At 40.7% G+C, this 19793-nt stretch overlaps 1 protein-coding gene across 7 annotated transcripts in view, besides 1 other annotated feature; it reads right to left on the bottom strand.

Annotated features, from left to right (window-relative positions):
• Positions 1 to 19793, bottom strand: part of PELI2 (pellino E3 ubiquitin protein ligase family member 2) — a 183114-nt gene that overhangs the window by 84749 nt on the left and 78572 nt on the right. The window contains exon 1 of one of the 7 annotated variants that reach the window (XM_047431612.1): positions 1 to 19793. This exon is cut by the window's left edge and continues 8594 nt beyond it; it is cut by the window's right edge and continues 15619 nt beyond it. The exons of the other annotated variants lie outside the window; for them this stretch is intronic. The gene's annotated coding sequence lies outside the window, so the exon portion shown is untranslated. 7 annotated transcript variants of the gene reach the window in all.
• Positions 17395 to 17584: an enhancer, noted in NCBI's record as "active region_8437". NCBI's record gives its function as "activates an Ori minimal core promoter by ATAC-STARR-seq in GM12878 lymphoblastoid cells {active_cell/tissue: GM12878}" and the evidence as "EXISTENCE:reporter gene assay evidence [ECO:0000049][PMID:35858748]".

Genomic DNA, 19793 nt, shown 5'->3' with positions numbered 1-19793 from the left:
GAGCCAGAACACTGAGCCCTGATGACATGAATCCTGAAAGCAATGGAACTCTGAACACAGCCTTTGCCTACAGAGTTTTGCTCTTTTCTTGTCTCTGAATTAAGTTAAAATGAATGCCATTGCCATCAGTTTATAACCACATAGCAATGTTCATTCAAAAACTATCATCAAATGTATGAAAACTCGGTCACTGCAAATAAGAGAGTTAGAATTTGACAAAAATGATACAAATCCTGTGAAATATCTGCCTTTAGGAGTGTCTGTGCTTGCAGCACAGAACAGCCTATGTCTTGTTGGGTATGAGTATGTGTGTTTTACAAAATAACAGTGCTGCTCAAGTATCCAACAACAGGAGCTCACACTTTGCTGAACAAGAAGTTTAATATACTTTAATAATAAACCTGGAAATGAACCTAGAGAACAAGATTGAACACAGTGTAACTTCACGACTGGCTTAGAAGATAGAAAACATAAAACAGAAAAGAACCTTAACAAATAACACTACAATCACACATGTATTTTCCCCTTGACCTTGAATAGCCTCTGCCTGACTCCCTGGCCAAGGAGCCCCACAAATGTAAAATCTGAACCAAATAAAAGATGATTTCATGGGTACACAAAAAGCAAATACATAAACAACTGCATGAAGTTTTTTGTATTTACTTTTCTATAATGCTGACTAAAAAATAAAGCAACATTAAATGCTACCTTGAAAGCTTAGAGATGACATCTCTGCAAAATATAAGCCAGATTAAGCAAATTCCTGAGTAGTACTGGCATGTATTTCCCAGATAAAAATAAAATCATATTATTAGCTTAAATGTGATATATATTCCACCACATAACAACGTGAAATGTGACTACAAAATAAAACTGCATAATTTCTATAACCCACTGTAGTGTCATTACTTTGCAGTGACACTGTTTTAAGCTACTGACTAAAGCTCACAGCATTAGGTACCTAAATTCCACACCGCTGGTGACAGTGACAAGACCTGACAAGCATAATTAAACAATAGTGAGTTCAATTAAAAATCTGATTTGCAAAACTGGGCTATACTTCAAGACTCATTCTGATTCTCAAGACTCAGTTAATTTTGAAATTAAAATGCTCCTTAACTCATGTGTTTTGCTACCAAAATGTAGAGTTAAATTAAAATAGTATTACAGTTGAACACCAAATATGAATTTCCAACAATTGATTTAAGTTATTTTGTTTCTAATCATGTCTTTTAGTCTTGGTTCATGAACTAATGATGTTTTGAAAAAGCTATAAGTAAGTCCTAAATCTAAAAGACAAGTATTATTTCCTTCTACCTACCTATTGAGGAAACCCCAAATCATGTGAAAAGAACATCAAAGTCTATTCCCTCACAATGCATTCAGCAGCATGCTCCCCCGGCGGGCTTTCCTGTGTGTTATGTTTCGCTACAGCAACAGTATAGGGTTGTCTATCCTTAAATGTCCAAACCCCTTGGTGCCCATGAAAAGGGTGTAGCCTCCAAGACACATTAAAACCTATCACTACAGAATTATTTCCTAGAGAGCAAATACACTTCTGAAGATAGGAAAGAGAAGTTTCAATTGCTGAGTCTCAAATAAGGCTGATAGAAATCTATTCTGATGTTATCTCTATTAGAAGTGAGACTGTCACATAGATAAGAGAAGCTCAATTGTGTGATTCATGAGTGACATATGCCAACATCTTAGAGCTAAGCAAAAAAAGCAGTTATTACTTACTGACCAACATGTGTGACTATTAAGTGAAATTTGCTAAGATGCCCATAATATCTAAATTAAAATTTAAAAGGCTATTCAGGAGAGTATGAAGCCTATGCAGTCACCTGCTGGTCCGCAATGCTCCTCTGTCAACGCTGGCAATGCTGCACTGCACTGTTTATCTCCTTGGTCATTTCTCCCGAGGCTGTGGAATCCCGGAGGCTATGAGCTGTCTTAGCCTATCTATCTACCCTTCCAATCAGCCTTTCCCCACTCATCAAACTTCAAAATGCTACCCTATGCCCCTCATTGTATGTATATCTTACAAATGAAAAACACCTATACAGTATTCCACCCAAAAAGGCTGAACATCCAGCTTCCAAACTCTAGAGGTTGCTGGGCCCTCCAGCCTGCTCCAAGGCTGCCCCTGACATACAGCAGAAGCTGACTCCAAGCTGGGTCCCCTCCAAGACACAGGGTTCTGTGCCCTCTTCCTACTAAGAGAACCAAGAAGAAACCACTTGATAAAATTCTGGACATACTCAGGAGAGGGGCTGGGAGAGGAAGAGAGATTAAAATTAAGGATGTTCTACCAAAGCAATGATCATACACATTATCATTTGTAGATATTCTAAACAATACTTCCTAAACCCAATCAATCCAACCTGTGAATACCACCAACATCCAAAAATGGATTCAGAGCAAAAAAGTAGCATCATTTCCTATCCCAAATCATCCTGTAAGGCCACTGCATAGCTTCCAGGGGCTCTACCCTCTCTCCCCTCCCCCATCAACCTTCCCTCTGTGCCTCACAGCTGCAGATGCTCACCCCTCCAAGATGGGAATTATACTGTAGTGACATTAGGACAAATCTTGTAAATGAGTCTTTAAAAACAACCACTGTGGCCAGGCGCAGTGGCTCACACCTGTAATCCCAGCACTTTGGGAGGCCAAGGTGGGCGGATCCATTGAGGTCTGGAGTTCGAGACCATCCTGGCCAACACGGTGAAACCCCGTCCCTACCAAAAAATACAAAAATTAGTTGGGCATAGTGTCGCATGCCTGTAGTTCCAGCTACTTGAGAGGCTGAGGTGGGAGAATCACCTGAACCTGGGAGGCGGAGGTTGCAGCGAGCCGAGATCACGCCACTGCACTCCAGCCTGGGTGACAGAGTGAGACCCTGTCTCAAAAAAACCCAAAACCAAAAACCAAAATAAAACCACTGTGCAAGGCACATATTTGTCATTCAGAAAACTGATATATCCTTCAGGAGAAATCCAACTAAATAAATAATCTTAAGTTTTTTACTGGCATCTTCCTACCCCTCACCAATATTGCTCACTCTGAGCCCCTCTCTTGCTACTTCAATGCCTGCCTCCCTACCACTGGCTTATTAACCTCACCCCCAAACACATTTTTGCTTCCTCCATCCTAAAACACCACCACCACCATTCTTCTCTTTACAATGAAACTGTCAAACTGCTGAATGACAACAGTCCACATGCTGCTTCAGGCTTTGCTCTTTTTCTACTTATTCTCAGCAATCTGGCCTTTGTCCCTCTCCCTCTTTCTGTCTCCAGGAACTGCCCTAAGCTGCCCTGTGGGCTAGTCACTCCTCTCGCCTGCTAACTTGGACTCTGCTTTTAAAGTGTACTCCTCTCTGGGTATCCAATCAGCTAATTCCCTTCTGGATCTCCTTCTGCCTCCACTGTGCAAAGCTTCTGCCTGGGCCCAAAAAGTAAGAGGCAAAACAGAAATAAAAGTAATTCATGATGATAAAAACTGTAACTTCATCCACACATGTTGGAGGAGAAAAGATATCATTACCCTGACAGTTTCCATTTCCATCCAGGTAACCACCAGAAGTGATGTCTCCCAGTGCCAGAGTTCCTATTCTTCAGAACGTGATACTCCAGACAGTTTACCTGCAGTCACTTTCTAGTTTTAGGAATAATTTTAAAGATGGGCTTGAGTCCATAAGAAGACTGAAGGGCAATGACTGCCAAGCTGCAGGTCTAGGAAAGGGCCCCTGCCATCCACTTCTAAGCCAGGGCTCCTGAAAAGGGCACACGAACTGCACGTGTGGACTAAGACCCTCCTCGTGACCCCACTCTACAGCCTGGCTTTTCATCCCTGCAACTCTGGAGAGTCTAGCCATTGGCTTTAGTTTGATGTCTCAGCCATGGCTCAAGCTTCCCCTCTCTTGTGGGGCAGGTGTGTGCTCAGCCTCTGGTCCACACCCAGACTGGCCACTGGAACACATCCCCTGTCCTGGCCCAGCCTCCAGGATACTTGTAGGAAAGGAGCTGCTGACAGAAGACTGAAGAGTTATGAAGAGTCTTAACGCCCTGCATGATTGACTCAGACACTTGCTACACGAGCTTGGCAGTGCAGCTGCCACAGGCAGGACTGTGATCAAACATCCCAAAGTCAGAATCCTCATGCCACAAAAGGAGAACAATAAGACAGCATTGAGGAGCTTCAGTTGTCCTCAGAAAGCCTCATACTTTGTCTTCAACTCCACTGCAGGAGCTGGGCCAGGTCAGGCCATGGTCCCAGGCACAGATCCTCTCTCCCCCCAATCCCAGGGAGGCAGGGAAAAGAAGAGGGGATGCCTAAGACACATGGCAACGACATCAGGGCTTCTTAAGGAGCAGAGGCTAAGGCTCAGTGATCAACTGAAAGTCAGCCCTGGCAGGAGAGTTCAGGGGGAAATAGTGCCACTTTCCAAAATAATAAAATAAAACACAGCGCAGTAGTATCTGTGAAAAGCAAAGCAACGTAGGGTAGAATGTGAAAAACCAGCTATGCTCAATACCTAATGAAGTAAGAGAATGGATTGTTTTGTAGACTTCAGACACAGTTCCCCAAGCTGGCTTTGGAGACATACTAATGTCCTAAGAAAACGGGGTCTCTGTCCTATTTTTCCCCCAGCTATTTTCACTGTCTTGCTCTTCTTTGGTGACATCTACTCCAACTGGTTCTCTAATTTTTTCTGCCCCAAATAGCAACCACCAGGACTATTCCCAGCACATAAGAGGCTCTTGATACAATGTGCTGACTAAATGAAGGTCTCAGTCAGCTATTTGACTTTGGGTCTTCTACTTCAATGGTCCTCAAAATCACACTTCTATTCCTGGGGGAGAGCCAACATGCATGCGTCTGTATGGATCTTGAGTTTTGGTCACATGTATTTTTCCTCTTAAAAAAAGAAGAGATGGATTGCCTAGATATACCAAAAAGTAAAAAAAAAAGAGCCTTTTAAATAGCATCTCCACACCACCCGCGACTTGGAATTCAGCCATCTGGCAACCTTATCAGCTGTAAATAACAATACAAAAATAACACACATTTGTTTAATACTTTTATAATGAAATTTCTCTAAAACTTTGATGTAAGTCTAATGTCCATCTTATTTATATTCACCCATCTATCCACCCCAAAAATATATATTTTGCACTTGATGACAAGTACTATGACTAGAGCTGAAGATACAGGCATCATTCACATTCTCTATCCCAACAAGGTTGAAAAAGATACCTAAAAATACATAACTATACAACATGTGAGATACTGCATAAAGAGGTGCACACTGAGCACCCTGTGAGCATTGACTCAGCTAGTACATGATGGGGGAGGGGAGTGGGAGTAGAGGGGGTAACCCAGGGAAGGCTTCACAGAAGGTGACAGGCCACAACAATTCTGTGACATCTCAACTCAGAGGTCTGTACACCAGCCAGAAGAAAACAATCATCTTGTGACTCCATACTGACCTTCAGGGTGGCCTGAGCCAGCCAGCAACTGTGCAATTGGGGCATTCACAGTAACTGGCTAAAGTTGCTTCAGCACTGGCAGCATTGACTCAAGGGATCAAAGCACTCGACAGCGGTGATGGAGCAAATGACCACAGATGAGATTTTATCTGTCCTTATGGGCACTTCTCAGTTGACAGCGTAGCAAGACAAAGTACCACCGGTGGGCTAAAACAGCTTTGGGATGGCTTAGAAATCTTGCATATACAATATGCCCAGAATGTGTGAGCTGCACCCAAATGCTCTTGGTAGTTACTTAAGACCAAGGGTGGGAGCAATACCTACCACCAAAAGGAACAGCAAAAGTTATTCAAAAGTTATTTTTAGTTATTTAGAGAAAAGAGGATTCTCTTTTCATTTATGTCAAGGGAAAACTCTGAGGATGTTCAGCCATAGGTCAGACAGAAATAGCTGAGTCCCATCCCCCTCAACTTACCGACCACAGGGACCCAGACTGAAGGCTGACCACAAGCACTGCCTGCCTAGCACTTCAAATCATGCCATTATTGTGGGAAACTTCAACACATGTGGTGGCCAAATGGAACCTTAGCCTTTTCGTTCTCTGACCTCCTTAATTGCAGAGACTTTCAATCTATTCACCTATTCCCAAGGGCATTTTCTGGGTCTCATCACATCTTTATGTCTGGAAAACTTAAATATGAACTAATGGGATCACAAACTCCTGTTCACTTGGTAATTCCACAATTTTTGTTTCTGCAGTTCATCAAGCCCTCCCTATTCGTCTCTAGGATTTTCCCTCTGATTTTTAAATTTTTAACTTAAGAAATACAAGTACATAGTTGAAAAAAAAAACCAAAATCATTCTAAAAGGCTTACAATAAAACACAGAAGCCACTGACTGACCTGCCCCTTCTTCAACACTGACTTCCCAATCCTCATCCCAAAGAAAACCACTTTCAACTCTTGTGGCAGTTGCTTTTGTTAATTACTATTAATTCTTAACAGCACAAGTTCCAATTGCAGACGGTATCCACTGATTGATCTCTTTCCCTCTTCTTCCTCCTCCGCACCCCTCTCATCAACATACATTTTTTTTTTCATTTTTCCAATTTGAAATGTGACATTTCACTCCTAAATACTTTGGCATGCTTCTAAGAACCAGGCAAAATTTACCCTACATAACCACAGTACCATTATCACACTAAAGAAATTTGACATTAATATAACAATGTCTAATATACACCCACATTCAAATTTCCCTGATTTCCCCAGTAATGCCTTGTATCATTTGCATTTCCTCCAGTCCAAGATCCAATCATGAATCCTGGGTTTAACTTCAACTCTTTATCTCCTTTCACCTGGTACAAATTACCCAGGATTTCCGGTAGTTCCTGACCCTGCTGCGCTAGCAATTTCCCAGTTCTTTGAAAACCAGTGGCAAACCTAAGAGTTAGTGAGGGCCTTCCCAGGTATTGGTCCTCCAGCCCTTCAAATGGCTTGGCAAGCAACTAATTCCCTTATTAAATGCTTTTCAGTTTCAAATATTCAAATCATTGGTTCTCAAATGCGTTAGTCTCAAGACTTCTTTACGCTCTCTAAAAATGACTGGAAAATCCCCAAAAGCTTTTGTTCATATATCTGTGGGCATTTACCATATTATAAATTAAAATTAAAAATTTTTATTCATTTATTCGCTTACAAAAAACAATAGTAACCACAATACATACTACCACGAAACGAAATATTTTATTAAAAAAACCTATTTTCCAAAATGAAAACAATTTACTGGAAGAGTGATGTTGTTTTACATTTTTACAAATCTCTCTAATGTCTGACTCAATTCTCATATCTGCTTCTGCACTGAGTCTGTTGCAACACATCGATTGGGTTGAAAGTATATGAAGAAAATCTTCCTTTACGTACATATATAATTGGAAAAAGGGGTAATTTTTAATAGCCTTTTCAGAAAATGGCAGACGCTGCTGTGGTACTACACCAAACTCAGCAAGTGGGGGTCACTTCTTAAAGGTCAGTTGCAATGTGGAGTCTGAAACTACATCAATGAGCTTTTCTTACTCTGTGATGTTAAAATCCATTGGTGTAATTTATACTTTGAATTAATCTTTTAACTATGTACTACTCTGTAACATCATGCATTGATCATTTGGGAAATATTAATTCACTGAGTTATGCAGGTCTTACAAATGTTGACATATTTCATTATACTTATCAAAATATCACATTTATTAATATCACCACCAACTTCATCAGAAAAATATTAAGTATTCGGAACTGTCAAGTCTTGGTAGCAGATACAAGTTTTCCAAAATCCTAATTTTTGCTTGAAAGCTTAAATTTTAACGCTGGTAACAAAATTTTCCTGTAATTTCCCTATAGAAAATGGTTGCCAAATACCCAAGTCTGAATAACCATATTTGTATGTCATTCTTTTAGGTAAAAATGGTTTTCTATGAAAGTGGTGAGTTCAGCTTGCAAGTAAAACAACTGCACAAGTGCTTTTCTTAGAGATAACCATCATGCTTTGGTATGTGACAAAAGTTCTATCTATGTACTTCCCATTTCATCATGCATAATAAAAACTCGTGAGTACTCAAGGGTGGAGATTTAATAAAAATAATGTTATTGCTTCTACAAATGAAACCGCATTTTTTTCACTGCAGATACTTTGTGGCAATGAAGAATAAAATGACTACGGTTTGGAGCCACTGCATTGATTCATGCTAAAGTGCCAGCAGTTTTACCCACCACTGCTTTTGCATCATTAGTGCAAATGTCAACACAAGGAAAAAAGGCAAATGCAATCGTATTGCAGGACCCCCATTCTCCTACACCTTCCAGTGAAATAGAAATACTTTTAGTTCTTAGAGCAGATTCTGCTGTGCCTGTCTGAACAGTCATTTCCCATCTCCTCCTCACACTCCTCCATCCAAATTTATTTTTCAGGTCTTAGATGACATCTCTTCTGGAAAGTCCTCTCTGTCTCCCTGAAACTAGTTAGACTGCCACCCTGGGCACTTCCATAGCACCTGCATGCTATGGTCAATGACTTTAGTAGGAGCTCTTGAGACAATTCCTTCCCCATTAGCGCCTGCCCTCATCATGGCAAGCACTCAAGAATGACTCTTTCTTTGCTCACCAGACAACTCCTAAGCTGTTAAAGCTCTGGCTATAAAGCTGGCTGATGCACCTTGATAACACAGCACTTTGAATGTAGGCACCAATGCAGTGTCTGACATGCAAGAGATGTCTGGCTTTTACAACTTATATGTCTGGAAAAGATTAGAGTTTTATGTTTGCCTTCTGAGTCCCAGCCTGAATACCTGACAACCTCCAACGTGCCTGTCATTTGGATAAAGGTCCACAGTCTGTCCTGAGAGAAGGCATGATGGCCATGTCCCTAGGACAGCCAAAGATAATGAGGTACCATCCTGCTCAGAGTTCCTGCTCTCTGCTGGTGAACCCTGTGGATGCAGGCACTCTTTACCTTCTGGCCAGACAAGAAAAGCCTCGGCTGTCTTTACAGTTTCTATCCCTTTTGGCCTTTAGCTGGTGCTGAATCCTACCTGGAGTGAGGGGCTCTGTAACCCTTACCAGCCCTCTTTTCCTAGCAATCTCCCTATCTGCTTCCCCTGAGTAGGTCTAGGGGATGTTAAAGCTGAATTGTGCTTTATCCACACTATGTAAGTCTCATTTCTATGTAAATACAATTTGCTAAAGGAAAATGAACATGCTAGAAAGTTGGCTCCTGTTCCTAATATACCCCAATAATATCATGTTCTAGTGGGACTTCAAATTTTCTTGCTGGAGTCTCCTATTAAATTATAAATCCCTTGTGGGTAGTGAGTATAATATCCTCAGTAGCTACCATAGTATCTGGTACATAGTAGGTGATCAAAAAATATCTGTTGGAGCAATTAAATAATATATATAAAATTATTAGCATAGTGACTAGAACACAGCAGTCAATAGCAGAAGCTGTTCTGATTTTGATATGATGACAATGACAGGAACATTAAGGTTTATATAGAGATTATTCAGTTATTTTTTTTCTCTCCCAGCTTTGTGGTCAATGTACAAAGTACAGTATTTATTAATACTAGTAATCTAGTAATCTTAGCATGTGTCTAAGGGTGAGGAGAAAAGATACCATTCATGAATCTTAAAGTCGTATGTTCACTCTGCTCTGGGGTGGTAATTTTTGTTATTAATTTAAACCACCTCTCCAGGATTTCTCTGCAGAATTACAATTGAATACCCATGTAATCACTGAAAACTAAGAACCTTTATTTGATAACTTGTTGAGCACATTTTGATTAGGCATAGCCAACATGCTTTCAGGAATGGCAAGTCATTCTCACATAACATGCAGCAAATCCCTCTGAGGATAATACAGACAAGTTTAATCAAAGGAGTGGCAGTGATCTTGGAATTCAGAAAATACTTGACAGAGTTCCATATCAAAGGTTAACAGTCAGTGTATAAGAGCCATAAACCAAGAGGAAAATTGGTATTAGATTGATAAAATACTCAACAGCAGGAAACAAACAAACAAAAAAAACGATCAAGGAGGAAAGAAAAAAGCCATAGAATACTGCACGGGCTGGTGATAAAGTCCAGGATTTTTATGTTATTTTAAAACATCTGAAGGGAAACCACTCTGATTGTGTATTCTAGGAATGTAGAACCATTAGAAAAACAAAGTGGCTTTTAATGGAATATAGGAAATAGAAATAACACATTTTTAAGAGTCATTTACTGAACTCTGAAATGACAACTTACTGGAGCGCTTCGTATGACCAAAACACTAAGGTTAAACTGGAAAGAACCTCTTAAAACGTTTACAAAGTATAATCCATTTGGTGAAGGAGAATGTTGTAAAGTTGGGACAGGTAGAAGAGATACTTTTGTCAATTAAGAATAACTTAAAATTTTTCTTGAAAGGGAAATGGAAGAGAGAAATGCAGACCCACATTCTAATACAACTTTTGTGTTTTTCTGATTAATTCTACTAACAAGTCACAACACATCTCTTTTGATCAAGTACAGGGAAGTAATCTGAAGCACCACCCTGTAATCAGAAGATGAGAAAGCTCCTGAAGTTACCATTTGTTCTAATTAGGTCACCTTCCTACTGCAAATACTCTAGTAAATGAAGTGTGTCACTTCAGTACTCAGCCTTTGCAAAAGACAGTGAACTTCTGAATAGTTGCCACACTTCCTCCTGGGAGCGCCGGTTTGAAAGCTAACTGCTATTTGGTAGGTTATCTGTAGTTCTTTTCATGCATCAAAATAATGGTTACTGATTAGTCCACAGGAAAAAAAAATCCAACTCTCCAATTACCCTCTTAGATACCCATGATACTTAGAGCAGCCTTTTATTTCAGCTGTATTTAGTTAATTGCTCCCCTCCTTCTCCCAATTACTTCCTATCTCCAACATCCAGCACCCAGTGCAGGGTCAGGTGTGTGTGACGGAGGCAACCCTGAGCACAAGGGCCCTCAAAGCGATCAGAGGTCCTTGCAGCAGCCCCTTGCAATGGTGCTGTGCTCTTGAAAGGGGCATCCAAGTCTTCAGCTCCACATAAACACTATCTGACAGCAAAACATTTTATTTACTTTCAAAACTACCAAATAGTTTTGCTATTCAAACATTCATTTTAACTTTCTATAGAATTACTGCCTTTATCTAAGCTTCCAAGCTTCCCCTTAACCCCACGCCCCGACAACCTTATTACAAAAAAGAGGATTTCATGCTTCTTCAGTCCAGTCCTAGCTAAGCTCAGGTCACTCCTGCCTTCTCTAGGATCCAGCTCAATCAACTCTTCCCTGCTGAATTTTCAATCTTCCCCCTCCCCTACAGGCTCATGACCCCATAGGCTCACTTAAGCAAGACTCGTTCACATTAAAAAATATATATGAGTAAATCCTTCCTTGACTCCACTATACTACCAGTATCACTCTTTGATCTTCTGTTCCCAAATTGCATGCATTCCTGGCTTGCCGTCTCCATGTCTTCACTGCCTCCCACCTCACAGTCCACTCACGGTAGCATGTACCCGTAACTTCTCCAGCGCTCCATGTTCTAGTCAAAGAGCACCCCACAGGGTCCCCATGACCCTTGCACTGGCAAAGCTAGCAGGCTTCTCAGTCCTCTCTTCCTGACCTCTCGCAGCCTGAGTCTGCTACCCACTACCTGGTTTTAAAGCACTTTCTTTCTTTTTTTTTTTTTTTTTTGACAGGGAGTCTCGCTCTGTCGCCCAGGCTGCGGTGCAGTGGCATGGTCTCGGCTCACTGCACCCTCCGCCTCCCATGTCAATCGATTCTCCTGCCTCAGCCTCCCAAGTAGCTGGGACTACAGGCTCGTGCCACCACGCCTGGCTACTTTTTTGTATTTTTAGTAGAGACAGGGTTTCACCATGTTAGCCACGATGGTCTCGATCTAACCTCATGATCCACCCACCTTGGCGTCTCAAAGTGCTGGGATTAATAAAGCACTTTCAGATTCTCTTCCCACCCTCCAGACCCTAACTCATAGACTCCCACCTCTTTTCCAGGCCCTCTTCTTAACAGTTTAAAAGTCCTTTCCAGGGGAGTCATTTCCTCTTTCTCCAAACACCATCTTTATGAAAAACTCCCTAATCTTACCCAAACCCCACTTCCGAGCTCCACACCCATACATTTTAAGCCTTCTGAATGCCAGCACTTCAGGTCTTACAGATGCCTCAAATTCATCATACCGCAAACCGCAGTCATCTTCTCCCCTGTTCTACTCCCTCCAAGAAAAAGACCATGGTCCTCCTCCAAATTCACATTATCCTTCCATTTCTTCAAGTCAGAAGCTCAGAGTGGCCCCAGCCTTTTCCGGCTCTCTTAGCTGCCACATCAAGACAACCTAAGGACTGATCCAAGCATCCACATTAACCTACTATATGAATATCGCTCTAAGCTGTCACCTACTCTTTAGTTTTGCTGCCACCAATTCGGTCTAAAACAACTCAGTCTAAATCACATCACCTTGCCTGGACAATAGCTTCTAACTGATCTCCAAGTATTCACCAACTTTGAGATCTTTAATCATCTCTATAACATCAAAGCAATCACCAATGTGACTGTTCAAAAATGGATATTCGTTCCCATCAATCGGCCCCTGTTGAACAAGCCCTCTAACGCCTGCCTGATATTTGGGCTGGCAGGTCCTCCCAGGAGCTCAGCCCTGCTTACTGCTCAGATCTCCCTTCCTGACCCCTCCCAGAGGCAGGGAACTGCCATTATTTTTTCTTGCTAAAGCAGGGCCTTTGTACTGGCTGTTTCTCCTTCATTTGTCATTTTCTCTATCCCCCTTCTATCCACTCACCCTTTAACAGTTAAATCCTAATCTTTTTATGGGTGAGAGACTCAGCTGAAAAGTCACCGATTTTCTCCACTCTAATTTAGAGTAGGGTGAGACCTCCTGTATATATAGCCATAATCCCTTTCCAAAACAACAGCCCTAATTACTTGTACTTGTATTGGGCTGCAGAGTTGACCAAGATGAGGACTGAGATCTATCTTGCTCAGGAGCACCTGGCACAGTAAGGGCAGACTTAGCAGGTACTCAATAAATCTTTGGTTAATGAATTATCAGGCTAATAAATGGCCTCATAAACATCATGTTTTCATTGTTTCACTGCATTTTTAATCACTGCTTTGTCCTTCACTGTCCAACTCTGAGAAATTAATGTTTTCCTAATAAATCAAATAGTTCCCAGAAAAAAAGTCTACAGATACAGAAGACATCTATATACATACATCACACATACACACACACACACTAGTATGTGTGTGGAGAGAGAAAAAGATATGTATATTTGCAAAAAACATACCTTTTTTGGCTGAACTAATTCACATTAAGTTGCAGACATTACGATACTTCACCCCTAGATTTTTGACAGAGTCTCGCTTTGTCACCCAGGCTGGAGTGAGGTGGTGCGATTTTGGCTCACTGCAACCTCCATTTCCTGGGTTCAAACAATTCTCATGCCTCAGCCTCCCGAGTAGCTGGGATTACTGGCATGTGCCACTGTGATGCCTGGCTAATTTTTGTATTTTTAGTAGAGACAGGATTTCAGCATGTTGGCCAGGCTGGTCACCCCTAGATCTTTCGGCAATTTTCTACATAATCACAATACTATTATCACATGCAATAAATTAATTTCTGTGCAATAATTACTCCATATTTCAACTTTCCAAATTGTTTTAAAAATGTACTTTAACAGCATTTTTTTTTGAAAAATTCAGGATCCAAGGGATGATGACACACTGCATTTGGTTGTTCTACCTCTTTAATCTCTTTTAATAAAGGGCAACTTCCCTGCCTTTTATTTTTATTTAATTTTGGTCTTTCGTTATAGACATTTTTGAATAGACCAGGACAGGTATCTGGCAAAATGCTCCATGATCTGGATTTGTCTAGCTGTTTCTCAATAATCAGATTCTGGTTAAAGATGTTGTCAAAAAGACTTCACAGATGATATGCTGTGTACTTCCCACCACTGCAGAACATCAGGAGACGCATCCCCAGAAGACCCTGCCTTGCCCCAATTCAATCATCCTACACCTAGGCCCAGGCTTCTTGAGTCCCACCCTTCCCCACTCCCAGACTCCAGCTGGCCCTCCCTGTGAACAGACATCCAAATATCATCAGACACTTGGGAAAGCCTCTAATGGGAAAGACACAGAGCCAGCAGGACCCCGGCTGTGAGCAGACCTGGAGAGCAGGCTCAAGTGTAGCGAAGGAGGGGAGGGTTCCAGGAAAGCTGTCTCCACTGAGAACAGAACTGACAGGTAACTATGAGTCAGAATGGGCCAAGGAGGGCTTTCACTTCTGTAGGACAGAGGAGGTGTAAAGCCATTAGAGAAAAACTGAAAATGAAGCCAAAAGGAAAAAAAGCAACTCTTAAAGGCAGGCTTATTTTGATATTTAAGACAACATTCCCTCAAGTATTTTTTTACTAAAGGGGTGATGCTATCTGCTTTTTCCTTCCATTTTTACAAACATGGTACAATCAACCCCACTGTTATTTGGTGAAAACAATGAAGTATTTTTTAACAACAACAACAACAACAAATACCTTCTATGGCCCCAGATGGATAATTTTAAGTTGGTTAAGAATGTGGGCTTTGGAGACCTGACCAACATCACTTAGCAGTTGTGTGACACTGGCAGGTTGTCTCATGCATCTCTGTGCCTCAGTTTCTACATCTGTCAAACAGGGCAATAGAATTTACCTCATCGGGTTGTGAGAATAGATAAGTTAAACACATGTTAAGTGCTAGAATAGTATCTAACACATAGTTAACATTCAGTAGATTTTTGTAATCACAGTGAGTTATTATTAATATTATTGTAAGTCTGTGGTTAAGAAGCCTATTTTAACTTTAAAATGATTTGAGCCATCAGAATTCAGCTTTTGTAGATAAAGAATATGAACTAATTGACTATGGATGGAATTATTGTACATAGTTAGCTTGCTGAATTATTGGTTAAGCACTACTAACTATATCTTGGTAAACTATGGTGCAACTGAGCCACCCCCTAAAAGCAAAAGACATTTAGCAGTTCACCATATTTTGCAATTAACCAAATGAGAGCCTATGAGAATGAAATGGTTTCAGGTGGAGTTTGACAATACAATTCATCCATAATATATAGGGAAAAATATTTCCTCAAAAATAACATCTATGTGGTAGGCCCTTAAAAACGATGGATGAATGCATGCAAAATTCTCTGTACACAGACACATGAACTTAAAAATAGAGTACCACTACTACAGTTGTTTAAATCCCCAGCTCCTTCCTGGATAATTGTCACTACTGGGTATATTACTGTCCAAGTCTCCAGGATGAGTGAGTATTTCACATCATGTGGAAGGAGGCTTGCAGGCCTACTTAAGTGAAAAAATCTGTCACTGGTTCTAGCTTATCTTTATCTATATCTTTTGCATTTCTCCTAAGTAACACTCTCATGGAAAAACCACCAGCAAATCCAGGATCATCCTTTCGACAGAATACTGAATTTGAAGAACTGCATGGAAACGGTACTTATCTACAGTTCCATTTTACAGGTTTCTCCCTAAAGCTCAGAGACAGTGAACATTTATCTGGAGCCACATTGCAGGGCGCATGTTCCAGGCCTCCAAATGCACAGGCCAGTGCTCTTCCTTGGGTTCACATTTAAAGACCAAGTTTAATGTTTTTTTAATTGGTGTTTTATACCTAGATTAAATGTATTTTAATATTAGAGATGACTGTGTGACTTTCTTATTTAAAAAGAAGGCCTATGAAATCCAAACAAACTTGTGAAATCTTTAGACAGTTCCATTTAATAATGATCACTAATGGCCATTAGACCAGGCAAAATCTATGAGGCAAACAATCAGAATGTTTGTTTGAAATGCAAATGTAAGACAACTAATGAAAATGCCAACAGTTCTTCTGCTAAGGCCTGCTGTGATATTAAAAACAGTCTAACAGGAACTTTAAGAAGGAGAGACCTGATTCAGGAATTCAGTTACTTAAAAAAGAATCACCTTTGCCTGAAGTACAGGCTGTTCACTTACAGTCATCAGCATTTCAGAAATCAAAAAGCCAATATTTCAACAACTGCGTGTGTATTTTTGGCTGAATGGTGGTTATATTGATTATTTTACCAGCCCTTTAGTGAGATTTCCTTCCTTCTTGGTCGTCATTTCCAGTTCTAGATGGTACCCTATAGGGTAACGAAGGCAGTAGAGTGTGGTAGTTATGAAAGGAAGCTCCGGCATTAGACAGACCCAGGCGTGTCTTCACTCCACTTCTCACCGGCTGTGTGACCCTGGGGAGGTTACTTAACACTCTGTGCCTCACATGCCTCATCTGAAAATGGAAATGATAAAAGCCCTACCTTGTGAAACTGTTGTGAGGGAAAGTAAAAAAAAATATGCAAAGTGCTTATTAGCACAGAATCTGGTGGCCATAGATATTACCTGTATGACACAGAATAAGCACTCTGTATTTGAACTCTCATTATTGTTAGGGCAAGGTGGTGTAGTAGCAGTAAAAGAAAGAAGAAATACCTTCTGTTACAATAACAACTACAAATATTTGAAAATGAATTATGACACAGATTAAAAAGAATGTAAACAGTTATATTGAGGCCTTGAATTCTGTCTTTAAATCGTTGCTCCCTGTATTGTAAGAACTCTTCGTTAATCACTTAAACTGCTGACTGCCAGCAAAACCTAAGCTTCATACAGACCCACTGTCTACCAGGTGAATACACCTAGCGTTGCCATCCATGTAAGGTAATTTCTACAGTGAAGGTAAACCCCAGATACACTCAATCAACATCAAGTCAACAAAGATTTATTGAGCACCACCTGTGTATATGGCACAACCATAAACAGAACTTGCAGTACAGCTTAATTAAATCCCTGGGCCCTGGTAAGCTGAGTGAAAACTACATGTAAATACTTAAGAAATAGCTGGCTGGTTTATCATACATATTTACAGATTTTAATTTACCAAAACAACTTGTATCTTATCCGTTTATATAACCTGTAGGGTCTGTGTTTAAATCAGGATGAATGTGTCAAAGTAGCCATTAAACTGAATTATCAGGGGGTTTTCACTAATACTTGCTAGTTATAAACCTCAGTTCATTGCTAACCACACCCTGAGAAATCAACAAGAAGAACCATGAAGCACTGGGTAGATTTAATTATTATTTTAAATGTAATCTTCCATTTTAATATTCCTGATATAAAGAAGAGTTTTTCATTGCATTGGGGAATCTACCGTCTGTGATTAGTTGAGAACTTTCATTCTCATGGTTCTTGGTTAACTGAACTGTGACTCAGCAGTAACATACCAAGACGAGAAATGACCAGGCCAGACCGTCTCTTGTATAAACAAAAACAGAACAGAAGTAAATGGAGATTAGAGCCCAGGCAGAACCGCTACATTCAGTTTCCAAATATGGGCATGTGGAGACACTCAGGACAATCACTAAGGACAACCCAGAAGCATCACATGATGACTCTCATGGGGGAAGACCTTGGGCAGCAAGAGAGAAACTTTTGGCTCACACATGATAGTAATAAAATTGTTTTTGTTTACAGAATTCTTGTAGGAGGAAGGGGGAAAGATACAAGGTAAAATTAATAAAACTTAAGAAAATAACAGTAGAAAAAGTAAGTGAAGTCATAAGCTGGCTCTTTGAAAATATGAGTAAAACAAAAGCTATTTAAGCAAGAAAAGAAGAACAAAAAATATACAAAATTAGGAACAGACAAGGTGATATAATTACAGACACTAATGATTAAAATAAAGTGAACATTATTCACTTTGTCAAAAATCCAGAGTAGATGGAAGATTTTCTAACAAAATATAAAAGTACCAAAATTGACCAATGAATAGATAGAAAACAAGAACCATTTATACCCTCTCTCTACTTGTCATCAATATCCCACCATACTGGGTCATCTCCATCAGCATATAAGCATGCTCTCCTATCATCCATCATTAAAAAGTCATGACCCCCAAGCCCTCCCTAGTTTTGCTACTCCCCATCACTGCACATCTGTTCCAAAGAGCTGTCACATGTGGGCTCTGCACTTGCTCATCTCCTGCTTATGGCTCAGCCACTCCATGCTGGACACTGTCCCCGCTGCTCCATCAGATTTGCCTTAGCCACCATAGCCACCAACCTGCAAGTGGTCAAATCTAAGTCCCTTCCTTTAAGTCGCATCTCACTGGACTCACTCAGTGCATGTGATGTTGTCAGCTACTCCAGTCTGCCTTAGGCACACTCCTCTCATGCTCCATGATGCCACGCTCTCTGGGTTCTCCTCCCTATTTCCTGGTCACTCCTTTTCAGCCTTTGTCTAAAGGATGAATTCACCAATGCTCAGTCCTAAATCTTCTGCCCCTCTCTACATGGTTGAATTCCAGATTCATGTATCCAATTTGTGCCCTCAACTCTTCCCCTCATATCTCACTGGCATCTCAGACTACACAAGACCCAAACCAAACTCTTTGAGTTTCTCCTTAAACCGGCTCCTCTTTTTTGCCTTGAATGGCATCATCATCCATACATTACAATCAATTAATTATTCCTCTGAGAGAGTCCCGTTGCTTCTTCCTCAAAGATATATTCGCTTCTCTGTACTTCTACTCCCACCATCCTAGTTGTATTAGTCAGGGTTCTCTAGAGAAGTGGACCAAAGAGGTGGGTGTGTGTGTGTGTGTGTGTGTGTGTGTGTGTGTGTGTGTGTGTCTTCACCAGTCATGATCCCTGGTGTGTGTGTGTGTGTGTGTGTGTGTGTGTGTCTTCACCAGTCACCATTCCTGGTGTGTGTGTCTGCATGTGTGTGTGTGTGCACAGGCAGGCCGGAGACCCCAGAAAGAACCAAGACTGCAGTTCAAGTCTGAAGGCCATCTGCTGATAATTCCCTCTTGCTTGGATTGGGTTAATCTTTTCGTTCTATGCAAGCTTTTACCTGATGTGCTTTACTCAAAGTCTAGAGATTTAAATGTTAATCTCATCCAAAAACACCTTCACAGAAACATTGAGAATAACACCTGACCACAAATCTAGGCACAATGGCCCAGCCAAGTTAACACATACAATTAACCATTACACTAGTCTAAGCCACTTCATTTCTGGTCTAAGCCAATGCAACAGGCTCTAACTGGTCTCTGTGCTTCCATCCTTTCCTTCCATATCAAAGCCAGAACACCCGCTTCATGCATAAATGTCTCCCCAAACACCCAACAGCTTCCTATTGCAACCAGATTAAAGCCAAGGCCCATGAACAAGACTTGACTGTACCCTCATCTCATCCCAAGCTCCAACTCCCCACTAACCAGCCCTCAAGCCTGCCTCAGAGTCTTAGAATATGCTGACAGTTACACTTCTGCCCCTCTCTGTTTGCAAGACTAAACTCTATGTATGCCTTCATAACTCATCAAAACTTAAATATGTGTCCCTGGCCCTCACAGTATTCTCCACTGTTTGTTTCCTTGACAGTGCTGAGCACCAATGAATATTATATATTTATTTGTTTGATTTCTTATTTATTGCCTGCCTCTGACCCTACAACCTCCATTTGTGCAGGGACCATGTTTGTCTTAACTCATCCCATGCAGAGCCCAGGGCCTGGCACACAGCAGATGCTCAATTAATATTAATTAAATAAACAAAAAATTCTAATGCAAGAAAAATCTAAACACCTAGAATAAAATACTTAAAGTATCTGAAAAA

Source organism: Homo sapiens, chromosome 14 (assembly GCF_000001405.40).
Source record: "Homo sapiens chromosome 14, GRCh38.p14 Primary Assembly".
In the NCBI taxonomy this organism is placed as follows: Eukaryota; Metazoa; Chordata; class Mammalia; order Primates; family Hominidae; genus Homo; species Homo sapiens.
This window is presented reverse-complemented; position numbering and strand designations above follow the sequence as displayed.